Source organism: Homo sapiens, chromosome 10 (assembly GCF_000001405.40).
Source record: "Homo sapiens chromosome 10, GRCh38.p14 Primary Assembly".
Lineage (NCBI taxonomy): Eukaryota > Metazoa > Chordata > Mammalia > Primates > Hominidae > Homo > Homo sapiens.
The window spans coordinates 127,055,860-127,068,829 of record NC_000010.11 but is presented as its reverse complement, the minus strand read 5'-3'; the positions used below and the strand labels follow the sequence as shown (position 1 = coordinate 127,068,829).

Sequence of the window (12,970 nt, the reverse complement as noted above, 5' to 3'; positions counted from 1 at the left end):
CAACACTGTAAAAGTGTGTGTGTGTGTGTATACACATGAGAATTTATACTATACATATGTTACATTTATATGTGTGTATATATAGGTGTGGGTGTATACATATGTGTGTGTATATATATAGGATAATGCTAAATAAGCAAAAAGAGCTCATCACTGTAAAAACAAAAATGCTAACAGTGTAATCTCTGGAAGGTAGGGTGATAAATGATTCTTATTTTTCTTAATTAACTTTTTGGCATTTTTCTAACCAGATCACATATTACTTTTAAACTGAGGGCAAGGACACAATAAATGGCTGCTTTGTTTAATGCAAACCAGGACTTGATACCTTTATGAAAATCTGGAACACATATAAAGACGAAGGGGCGAAGGCAGGAGCTGCTGTAGGAGAGGTGCCAGACAGGCCCAAAGTTACTCAGTGAAACGTGACTTCCTCACCTGCCAGCAAATCCTATTCCATCTGATCTTAAATTATCATCATCCCTAACACATTCAGATCATTTGTTCTGAGGACAGTAAAGTTCTATGTGTACAAATCTGTGAGTAGCCGTGTGGATCCCAGATGCTAGCCCGGAAATAAATACACAAAAAGCAGCAAAAACTCCTCATAAGGAAGAATTCTGGGTAAGATTTAAGGCAAGAAAATACAGTTCATTTCAAATCAGGAAATTATTTTTAAGGGAATCAAAAAATGTGCCTCTTGGAGGGCAGAACTCACCCATCAGCTGTATTTACTGAGATTACAGAATAGCTTATTTCAACACAGCTCCTCTCTAAGAAAGCCAGATGGAAATGGCGCCATGTGATGGTTAGAATGGAAAGAGATGGGGAAGCCTGCTCCCTGGGGACAGTGCCCCAGAAGGAAGACAAACCTTCTGCATCTGTGTGCCAACCTCAGCTTGGGGGGCCTCAAATTCAATTAATCTTCACCCCAGTTCAATCCGCATGCTGGTCAGGAAAGTTGCCTGAGCGTCAGGGGCCTGGGGCTCTACACGACAATGGAAGAAATGCAGAAAGCTGACAATATTTTCATAATAAACTAAGCAGGAGACAGAGGGGCAGAGTCCTGAGATGAATAAAGAGGAGTGTTTTTCCAGTGCAGGTTGAGATCCATTAGTGCTCATGAAATAAATTTAGTGCCTGTCAACCAGCAATTTTTTTTTAACTGAAATACATTAGTCTAGAATAGACTAAAGGAGACTAGACTAGAAAATGCCAGAATGCATCACAGGGAATCAGTGTAGAACTTCTTCATGAGCATTTTCCAGCTTCATATGCACAACACACACGCACACATACACACACACACATACAATGCACACAGACACACTCACACACATATACCAAGTAAGCATCAATTTCCTACTGTGGATCATGGTCAAAGTTTCCTTCTATAGAAAATTCTGGCATTCTCAGCCCCAGATGGAACAGACTATGCCAAGGTCCTGCATGCAGTAGTCTTTTCCCAGGGTCATCCTAAGGGAAGGTAGTAATATTTGTGGACTTGAAATGATGTCAATGCCTGTAAGAACTGACTGCAAAGCCCCAAACGCCTCAATCCAGCACTGCAATCCACGAGTGGCCAAGATACAGCCACCTGCTGCCAACACAGTGGGGCCATCGCCAAGGTCTCCTCCCACAAGCCTTCGTGACCAGCCCCTTCTAACTCTCCTCCCTCCCCTTCACACTCACCCAATTCTTGTGGCATTTCACCAGAGTTTTTAAGTTGCTTTATGCATGTCCACTTCGATGGAAAGCTCCACCAGGGATAATGTCGGCATCTTTCCAGCCCAAAGCATCCAGCCTGTTCTCCATTGATGTGGATGGCAGGCATGGGCCCTGTTTCCAAACACCACGGGATAGCCAGGACTTAGCAACACTGTCTCTAGGAGCCAAATGGGAAAGAGAGTGGTTCTGGAACTAGCCAACCAGGGTTTAAACCAGCGCGTTACCCCATCCCAGCTCTTGTGGCCTTGGGTAGGTTAATTAAGGTCTCTAGGCCTCAGTGTCTTCATCAGAAAGCAATCAAAGTATCTACTTAATAGGGCTATTGTAAAGACTAAATCAGTTGAGAAATACAAAGCACGTTGAACAGCAGGCGATCAATAAGTATCAGCTCCAGTTACTCTGGCACTAGGCGCTCATGCTATTTCTATCAACCACTGATTGGGGGAGCTAACCCTCAGGAGGCTCCTCACACCCAGATGTTTGGTGTTTCCTGGGGAACGCACTGGTTCTACTTGGGTCTCCACGAGGGAAAAAGGCTTGGAGAGCCAGGTGGGCTGCCTATGAAGCTGTCTGGATGTCACACACTGGAATCTGACCCATTTCTCCTGGCAGCTGAAGAACAGCACAGTTTTCTGAGAAACAGCAAGTCATCACCAGATGGGAGTTTCAGGAAAACACCAAAAGAGATGCCAAGGAAAAAAGGGGCAGGTCCAGCATCAGCATGCAGGAAACGGTTCCAAGACTTTTCTGCCCTAATTTCAAGACGAAGAACTGGGGACCTAGCAAGCCCAGTGGTTCATGAAACCACAGTCACAGTAGCACAGAGAAGAGAAGACAGCAGAAGGGAATTCCGAGGCTGACTGGAGACACCGCAGCTGGGGGCGGCGGGGGCACCTGGGAGGAACAGCAGCCACAATCTCTTGGGGCAGAACACAGAACACGACTCGAGGGCAGAGGCAATGGGGCCAAGGACCCTCTTGTCAGGTAGGAGAGAGAAACGCCGAGGGCAAAGAAGAATCCAGAAGGCACGGGTTGAATTTCCAGAACATCTGGGCCGGGTGAAGGGGCAGCTCAAGGTGAAGACAGAAGATCTGAGATGGTGAGGAAACAGCTAGGGGTGGAGCGGGTCTCAGGGAGGGGGACGGTCAGCACTGCACAGCAGGTGGGCTTCTCCTCTTCAGAGGAAAACAGACAGGAAGAGGTGATACCGAGAGACCCCAGGTCTTTTCTTTTATCATTTTTTTTTCGAGATGGAGTTTTGCTCTTGTTGCCCAGGCTGGAGTGCAATGGCGCGATCTCGGCTCACTGCAACCTCCGCCTCTGACCCCAGGCCTTTTCAATGCAGCAGTCGGAGCCGCATCATTCACTCAAGGTAGGTGATGTGCGGCAGAGGATATGCCTGGAGCTGGAGGAGCTGCGGAAAGGGCTGCTGAGGGAAAGTCAATATGGAATTTCAAGTGAGGTTTCGGTAGCATGGTGGGGTGCTGGGAAAAACAGGATGATTCTTCAAAAAATTCAAGCATAATTACCACGAGAAACAGCAATTCCACTTCTGGAGCACTGGCAGCAGGGTCTTCAAGAGGCATCTGTACACCCCAGTTCCCAGCAGCATGAACCACAACCACCATGAGGTGGGAACAGGCCGAGCCTCTATCCAGGGACAGGTGCGGAGGCAAAATGTGCACGAGACACACAGCAACATGACAACCTTAAAAAGGAAGAAGATTCTGACACATGCCACCACCTGGTAGAACCTTGCAGACATTATGCCATATAAAAGAAGCCAAACACGGCCGGGCACAGTGGCTCATGCCTGTAATCCCAGCACTTTGGGAGGCCGAGGCGGGTGAATTATTTGAGGTCAGGTGTTCGAGACCAGCCTGGCTAACATGGTGAAACCCCGTCTCTACTAAAAATTCAAAAAAATTAGCCGGGCATGGTGGCAGGTGCCTGTAATCCCAGCTGCTGGGAGGATGAGGCAGGAGAATCACTTGAACCGGGAAGGCAGAGGTTGCTGTGAGCCGAGACTGTGCCACTGCCCTCCAGCATGGGAGACTGAGCGAGTCTCCGTCTCAAAAAAAAGAAAAAAAGCCAGACACAAAAGGACAAATGTGGTATGAGTCCACTTCCATGAGGTTCCCAGAGCCATTAAATTCTTAGACCCAGAAAGTGGACCGGTGGCTGCCAGGGGCTGCAGGGAGTTGGTGTTTGATGGGGCTGGAGTTCCATTCAGTTTGGAAAGACGTAAAAGTTCTAAAGAGGGATGGTGATGATGGTTGCACAACAGTGTGACTGTACTTAATGCCACTGAACGGGACACTTAGAAATGGGGAATTTCATGTTATTTGGCCACGGCAGTATGTTTTCAAAAAGTATTTGGCTGCAGCCCCAGGGCTGAGGGCCATTCACTGAGGGACGGTGAGGCGGTACTGAAACATCTGGGCACGGCGGGCGCCTGGGGAGCGGGGGTGACGGGAGACGGCCGCTGGGAAGGGGAGTGAAGGCAGGCAGCATCCACACACTCAGTGGAGTTTCCTGGACATTTGACTTAACATAAAAACTGGCCCACGCGTCCTCCATTTGTGTTTTCTCACTTAAATGACCTTGGAAAAATTTTGTCACTAAATCAATGAAAACAGTCCTGTTGAAAATTCTAGCTGGAGACCATGCTTATCCTGCAATAAATTACTTCTGAAGTTCCTCCTGCCCTCCCTCTTCAATGAGGCGTAAAACCCCGTGGCTGACTCTAATCCGCAAAGTTGATGCCAGTGGCAGGTTTGGTACCAAGAAGGGGATGGAGCCTTTCTCTGCTAAAAATTCAAAAAAATTAGCCAGGCATGCTGGCGGGTGCCTGTAATCCCAACTACTGGGAGGATGAGGCAGGAGAATCACTTGAACCGGGAAGGTACCAACCGTTTGGTACCAACGAGGGCCACACTTGGGGAAACAATGTTTAACCTTTAAATGTCACAGTCTGAAAATATACTTTGTCTATGGAAGATGGTTCACAAGGTATTTCCTTCCATTTAGACACAGCAAAACTGAAAGAGTTAAAACAACACAAAAGTCAGGCTCCCACGATGGGAATCTTTAAATTTCCAACGTCATCGAGAAAGCACCTATTGTGAAATAATACGATACCAATTACCAGAAGGGAGGTGACATGCCTAATAAAACGCCGTGCGTCTGTCTTGCAGATGTAAGGTTTGCATCAATGCACACACGTCACTCAATTCACTTGTGTCTTATAATAAAACACCCACTGAAGCATGGTCTTCCCGGTCCCTAGTCACTAAGTAATCTGACTTCAAGGGAGGGAGGCAGACACAAATCAAGCCCAATCAAATTTAATAATGTAAGGATATATTTAGCAATCTAAAATTACTGCTGGGCTCAAAACTTCCTGTAATTTTTATCTATTCTTACACTACACACGTCTGTTTTTCTAAAATGCCACTGAATTCAGTAGTAAATGTACCAAACACATTGCTAATTTTAACCTTGGGACAATAAGACAGCTTTGGGCAATATCAAGTTGCCCAAATAACCTAAAATTTTAATGTATGCACCACCTACATTTCTTTCTGTATAAATCACCAATTTTTATAGTAAATCATGTAAAAAAAAAATCAAGAAATCGTAGTGAAGAGTCCAAATGGCTCCACCAAACAGCTGCACCACCTCTGAGATGAAAGGTAGGCTCCGACTTGATTCATGTCTACTTATGCTGGTTTCCTTGGTCACAGCAACCATCAGCCACGTCTCAGCACACATACATCTTTGTTCCAGGGCATATGGCAAAGCTTTAAGGCTGGGAAGCGACTTGACCAAAATATTTTTAAGACACTAGCCATAAGAATGCCTTCTAAAATTATACGTTAAACAAACATTAAAAGAGGAAGAACAGAGGCGTCTACCATGATCAGTCGAGTGAAAGATGTAAGCTAATCATTTGGAAGATTCTTGTTCTTTGAAGGAATTAGTGCAGGCAGCAAATTGCAAGTTGTACAGCTCCTTCTGCAATAAGTCAGCCCAGTGAAAACCGCCATAACTAGGATAACCAAGATTGTGGGGGTCCTGCGGCTGCTCCATGGGCCTCCCAGGCACTTCCACACCAGTGAGCATCCTAAAGAACACTCAGGCCTCATGTGAGTGGAAGGGATCTTTCTTCCAAAGGACAACAGGGTGAGACCAGGTCATCAAAAGAGGGAAGAAGGACAGAAGGACAGGGGCACTGGAAGGCTCGCTCTTCTGCACAGGCAAAGATCCACTGAAGCATGAAGGTTCACCACCCTTTCCAGGGCATGGACACCCTGAGAAATTAGGTGTAAAACATGATTCTCATCAATTCCCCCAAATTTAAATAAAGTGAATTCAGAATCTGTCTTGCCAAACAGCAAAGAGAGAAGCAATGAAAATATTTAAGAGCACCTAGGGAGGAGGAAGAAGGGATTTCACTACACATGGAGCATGATTATGTTCACTACAAAAGAGGCTCCGGGGCCTTTCCCTCGAGTTCAGGCTTGGCAGGGCCCACAGCCCCTTAGCTCAGCCACAGGAAGCCCTTCATCTACAAGTCCACTTTGATACAAAGCTACAGCTAGATAAGAAGAATAAAGTCCAGTGTTCTGTAGCAATGCAGAGTGAAGACGGTCAACAATAATTTAGTGTATATGTTCAAAAAGCAAGTAGAAAGGATTCTGAATGTTCACAGCAAAAAGAAATGAAAAATGTTCAAGGTGATGCTATGCTAATTACCCTGATTTGATCACATCGTATACCTGTACTGAAATATCAGCGTATGTCCCATAAATATGTACAGTTTTTATGTGTCATCTAAAAATAAAATTAAAATTAAAAAAAGGCCGGGCACAGTGGCTCACGCCTATAATCCCAGCACTTTGGGAGGCTGAGGTGGGTGGGTCACCTGAGGTCAGGAATTGGAGACCAGCCTGACCAATATGGTGAAACCCCATCTCTACTAAAAATACAAAAAAATTTGCCAGGCATGGTGGCATGCGCCTGTAGTCCCAGCAATTCGGGAGGCTGAGACAGGAGAATTGCTTCAAGCCGGGAGGCAGAGGTTGCAGTGAGCTGAGATCACACCACTGCACTCCAGCATGGGCAACAGAGCAGGATTCTGTCTCAAAAAAAAAAAAAAAAAAAAAAAAAGCACAGCTCTTGAAATCAAATTGAGATCTCTGACATTAACAACTATGGTATTTGGGGCAAGTTAATTAACTGTAATCAAAATACCTACCTCCAAAAGAGATAATGAAAGAAAAAAAGAAGGAGAAGTCTGCCTTGGCAGTGGCCGGCACTCACCTTCACCCGGACGGTCTGGTCTGACATGCTGCTCATCATGTCATTGATGGACCTGAAGAGCTGCAGCAAAGATTCCACGAAGTCAGCCTCTCCCTTGTTTTCATACAGTCTGCAAAGAAACACACAAACTGTGGGGGCCTGGCAGAAACACCTCAACATTTTTTGAATCCATGTCTATAGCCATGAAGGGAATCACTTGGGTGACAAGTTAGAATGAGAGACCACATCCTCAACATCTATGAAGCAAGGAAGGTAACTTGGCAGTGAGACTCATGCAGACCACTCAGCCAAGGCAGCGTGCCTCCACATACAGAGGCTGACCCTTAATGCTACCACTCACTGCATTTTTCATTGTAACATACTACATCTTATAAATCTGAAAAACACAGAAAATATACAGAAAGGGAGGGTGGAAAGGGCCGAGGAAGAGAAGGAGGGAAAGAGGATGGGGAAATTCAGCTTTATTTCTACCCCACAAAAATTACACTATTAAGATGCAGTTGTGTTTTCTACCAGTGTTTTTATTTTTATTTTATTTATTTATTTTTGTAATGGAGTCTTGCTCTTGTCACCCAGGCTGGAGTGCAATGGCATGATCTCGGCTCACTGCAACCACCGCTTCCTGGGTTCAAGCAATTATCCTGCCTCAACCTCCCAAGTAGGTGGGATTACAGGTGGCCACCACCATGCCCAGCTAATTTTTATATTTTAGTAGGGAAGAAGTTACACCATGTTGGCCAGGCTGGTCTTGAACTCCTGACCTAAGGTGATCCACTTGCCTCGGCCTCCCAAAGTGCTGGGATTACAGGCGTGAGCCGCCAGGCGGCCACTACCAATGTTTTTAAACCCATTATGTCACAAATTGAAAATCAACAACACACTCCATTGCCTAAATTTACCATGATCTTCTAATCCTTTAAAATGATATCACAAGAGTTGCTTTTTTATTCCAGAGTAATGGTGCTTTACAAACGCATTCATTTCAACATCAGTGGTAACTGAAAAGTATTCAAGAGGTGGGACATATTCAATAAATAGGTAATAAGGAAGTTGTGCATTGGTTACATGTATGCTAATATATGTTACTAATTGAAAATAAGTCTCGTTTGTAAATTATTTATTAGCAGTTACTTCAAGTTGCTGTGTTACTAAAAAGCAACACATTTGCATTTTAAAATATTGTGACTCAGATGTTTTATTAATACAGTGTTTACTAATACTAGTTTGCTGCCTAATTAAAAATATACGATACCTGAAAACTTGTGTACAATGGAAAATTTTGTAAACTAAGTGATAATTAATTACCCTAGAGGTAGTCTGATATTTAAATGAATTCCACTGTAAAGCAACAAATTCTGTGTAAAATGGGAAATTGCAACCTAGTGGATCTGTTTTGTAAATAAGGGTTTTCAAATGGGGTTTGCTTAAATGATGTACCAAACAATTAAAATGATGGAATCATGAACTTCTGCTTGCAAGTGGCATGAAGAACACCTGGTAGACTGGTGCAACCCTTCGGGAGCCATCAAGCTGCAATCATTTTTCCCCTCAGGACATCTGTAATTCCTAGACCTGTATGGGATAGAAGACTAAAAACCAAAACGAAAACCTCTATAAAGCAAAGTGGAATTTGCACCAATCATCAGAGAAAATGACTCGAGTTTGGAAAACGCCAGGGAGAGAGTCCCCAGGTAACAGAGCCGACTCTCAGATGAAAATCCTAGAAAGCCAGAGGCACAGTAAATGGAGACTGAGGCATACTAAAGGTCCAGTGTAGCCTCAAAACTGAGCACAGTCTCTGATTAAAATAAGATGGTCAGCCCCACTTTGTCTAGAAGAAGGCAGGATGAATTATCTCTGGAAGAAGATCACATCATCTGAAGCTTCTACAGTTTTACATACAAACAGTCTTGACTTCAAACAAAAATTATTAAACTCAGCAGAAAACCAGACCACAGTCCAAGTGAAAGAGGAAAAAGAGAGCAGAAACAGCCCCACAGATAATCTAGATATTACAATTTCCTAGAACATCAAAACAACTATAATCATATTTGAGAACAGGGAAAATAAGATAAAAAAATGACAAATAGAAGGTAAGAGAAAAATTTCAGTAGAGAAATGAATCTATGAAAAAATCAACTGGAAATTCTAAAACTACAAAATATACTCTCTAAAATTAAAAATTTATTAGATGGATTAACAAAATAGAGAGTAGACACAGCAAGAGGCAGAATTAGTAAAATGGAAGACAATCCACAGAAAATAACTAAACAGAAGTACTGAGGAAGAGAATACAGAAGAGGGCTAGGAATGTGCAGGCATATTGAGGAGATCTAACATACATGTAATTGAAGTGCCAGGAGAAAAGGAGGAAGATAATGAGACAAAAGTAACATTAGAACAGACAATGGCCACAAATCTTCCAAAACTGATCAAAGATATCAATCAAAAAATTCAGAAATTCAATGCAGGATAAATAAAAAGCAAAAACAATCCTATGCAACCCATAGTAAGATTGTCAATAACCACAGAAAAGGAGACAAACTAAAAGCAGCAAGAAAGAAAATAATACCATTTAAATTCAAAGATGTAACAGTAAGTCTGAAAGCTAATGACTTACTATAAATGAAGGAAATCAAAATAGAATAGAATACATGGAAGAAGAAAATAACTTCCAACCTAGAATGCTATAGTGAGTGAAAATATCTTTCAAACACAAAGATGAAATAAATCATTTTCATACAAACAGAGTCCCATAACTGGCCAACACTAAAAGAAATAATACAAGTGAGTTCTTTGGACAGAAAGAAAATGATCCCAAAGGAAAAGTGAAATTGAAGGATGAAAAACAATTACAAACATAAAACACATCAAATGAATACTAACTGTATAAAATAACAGTAATGTCTTATGGAATATAAAACATAGAATTGAAATACAATAATAATATAAAACAGAGGAGAAGAAAATGGCAATTCCAGCGTGCTATTTTTCTGGCCATATCTAGCATTATCAGTGGATTGGTAAGAGTAATCATTTGAAATACTCTAAAATAAGTCCAACATGGATGTTACCATCTCTAGAATAATTGTTAAAAATAATAGTAAAAGAATATTCAAATAATATGTTTAAAAATCAGAAAATGAGATGCTTAAAAAAAGTGTAACTGGTATAAAAGAAGGCAAAAAAGGAGGAAAAGGGGAAAATAATACAGATGGGGAAGGGAAAATTAATGCAAAAATAATATATAAATCTAACATTACTTAATTACACTATATATAAATGGATGAAATGCTCAATTAAGAAGCTTGTCAGACTGGATGAAAGAAAAATACAACTATATGTTGTATTATAAGAGGCACACCTTAAGTATAAAGACACAGAAAGCATGAAAATAAAAGGATGGAAATAGGTATTCCATGCAAATACTAGCCAAAAGATTAAGAGAAACTTTTCATATTGATTAAGGAATAGACCAACAGGAAAGATATCATGATTATAAATCTGTATGCCCCCAATAACACAGCTTCAAAATCTATAAGGCATGATTAATGAATCTTTAATATTTTTTAAATTCTACCAGAACCTCTCATGAGTAAAAATGTAAAACAGTTTCTCTTGTGCCAACCAACATGTTTAGAACATAGCATTTTGCCGTGATCCTTTTGAAGCATCTTTCTGTAACAAAAGATCACTGTTAAAGTCTCTAGAATCTTCCCTTTTCATTTTCCCAGATAAACCAGGGAGAACCACTTTTTTGATCCACCCTGAAGTGGATAAAAAACTGAGAAAAAACAACTCAGAAACTTATCGATAAATAAACAGATGAATAAGACCTGCTCATTCCTTGCTCTACTTAAATAAGTGTTCATTAACAAGGAATGACAGGATCTTTGTCTATTAACTACATTCTATTTTGTGACCCAGGGAATGATAGCAAAAAGGTCTGTACAACTTATTCATGATCAATAACTAATTATTTACAAAGCTAACACCAGATGACAGGCAAAAACTCTACAAAGCACAAGAAACCCAGAAGAGAAGGCAGGCAATAACTAGATTTAGTAATTTGATTCTGATGCAGAATATCTGTTTTCTGGCTTTCTAGTTAATGTGATCCACCCACACAGAAAACACAGACAAACAAAAACCAGTAGAGAAGTGCCCCCGGCTGTCAGGAATCTTTCAGTGGGTTCCCCAGGAACCAAATGTCTTTGGGCCATAGCTTTTAAACTGTTGTTCTCATTTCAAAACAAAATGAGCTTTCTAAACAAAACAAAAAATATGAGACTGCATAGCAAGAAAGATAGTAAGTTAACAACATAAGCTTCAATATCTTCATCTTCAAAGTTTCACCTCTTTGTTCTTTGGAAGAATAATTACTGTCAATTATACTGGAATTTAACAAAGCTATTGCACTATAGGAAAACACAATAGACCATTTTGAAAGCCAAAGAAAAATAAGATCTCAAAAGTTTATCCCAGCTGCAAAAAGGAAAACACACTCATGAATTCCAGCTGTGAGCACAATTGTTTTTCTCTCAAGGTAATAAACATGCTGCAGGTAAGAAGATGAGAGTCCTAGTTTGTTTTCTTCCCCACCTCTGACAGCACCACACAGGAGACTCATTTGGAGCTTGTCACGGATCAAACATCCTAGATATCTGTGTGGGACGTGGGGCTCTTTTTCCTTTAAGTAGCCTATACAAGCTAGGAAAACGATTTCAGCTACATTTCAGACCTGTGATAGCACAGATGAAGTAACAACTGACATGCTGTGGTGGGATGATGGGGAGCAGGGGTGGGATGGGGAGGACAGAAGGGGAGGGATTACTAGAAGACTTCTGCCCTACCGTCCAATATTCTAAGGGCATGGGTTTTTTCCTCTCATAAAATCTATGAAATATCTTCTCAGCCATTTTAGAACACAGATTTAAATTGAAGTATTTGTTGTCTCTGCACAATGCGGCTAGGTGCTCCACATCTCAAAGAACGTTATGTCCTTCTCTCCCCTCAGGAATGAGGGTAGGCAGCCAGGATCCACATTCAGGAAACGTTCAGAGAAAAAATAATAAAGTCAAACTGTGAAAGTCTGGGATACACTTGGGGCTCATACACTCATTAAGTATTCATGGAAGGAAGGAAGGAAGGGACAAAAGAGAGAAAAAAGGAGGGAAGGAGAGAGGAAAGAACGAAGCGAGGAGAGAAGGAAGAAGCTAGGGAAGAAGGGAGGAAAAGAGGGAGGGAGAGAAGGAACATGAGTATCAACATCCCCAGAATCAGTGGGGTACAGGGGCTCATGCCTGGAATCCTGGCACTTTGGGAGGCCACAGCAGGAGGATGGCTTCAGGCCAGGAGTTTGAGACCAGCCTGGGCAACATAGCGAGACCATGTCCTACAAAAAATTAGCCAGGCATGCTGGCACCTGCCTGTAGTCCTAGTTACTTGGGAGACTAAGGCAGGAGGATGGCTTGAGCCCAGGGGTTTGAGGCTGCAGTGACCTATGACTGCATCACAGTACTCCATCCTGAGTGACAGAGGGAGGTCCTGTCTCAAATCATCATCATCATCATCATGATCAGGAGCAGCAGCAGCAGCATCAGGATCTCCAGAATCACTGCAGTACTCGGTTAGCTAAAGTCAGGAATGCCCAGACAATGGCCTCAGAGGCTTAGGGAGCCTCACTAAGTTGTAACAATTGCTACAACTTGTCTTGTGACCACTTTGTGTCCTCAACAGTCTCAACTCTTCTAACAAACAAGTTATACCAGCAAAGAAACTCAGTTTGTGGACCATGCCTGGCTCCTGCTGGGTCCATACCAGGACAAAGGCAGGTAGAGCGATCATGTTCTGTGCCATGCTGTTGAGCACCAGAATGCAGGCATTCAGAGGACTTTAGCACTAAACACTTCCTGTC

At 42.3% G+C, this 12,970-nt stretch overlaps 1 protein-coding gene across 24 annotated transcripts in view; it reads right to left on the bottom strand.

The window, feature by feature from the left end:
• Positions 1–12,970, bottom strand: part of DOCK1 (dedicator of cytokinesis 1) — a 547,089-nt gene that overhangs the window by 383,687 nt on the left and 150,432 nt on the right. For 23 of the 24 annotated variants that reach the window (XR_007061946.1, NM_001377544.1, NM_001290223.2 and 20 more), the window contains one exon: positions 7,054–7,162. The exons of the other annotated variant lie outside the window; for it this stretch is intronic. Coding sequence is in view for 22 of the 23 variants with exons in the window: in NM_001377544.1 (NP_001364473.1) it covers positions 7,054–7,162 (109 nt within the window). In the remaining variant the exon portion in view is untranslated. The remainder of the gene's footprint in view (positions 1–7,053; positions 7,163–12,970) is intronic. 24 annotated transcript variants of the gene reach the window in all.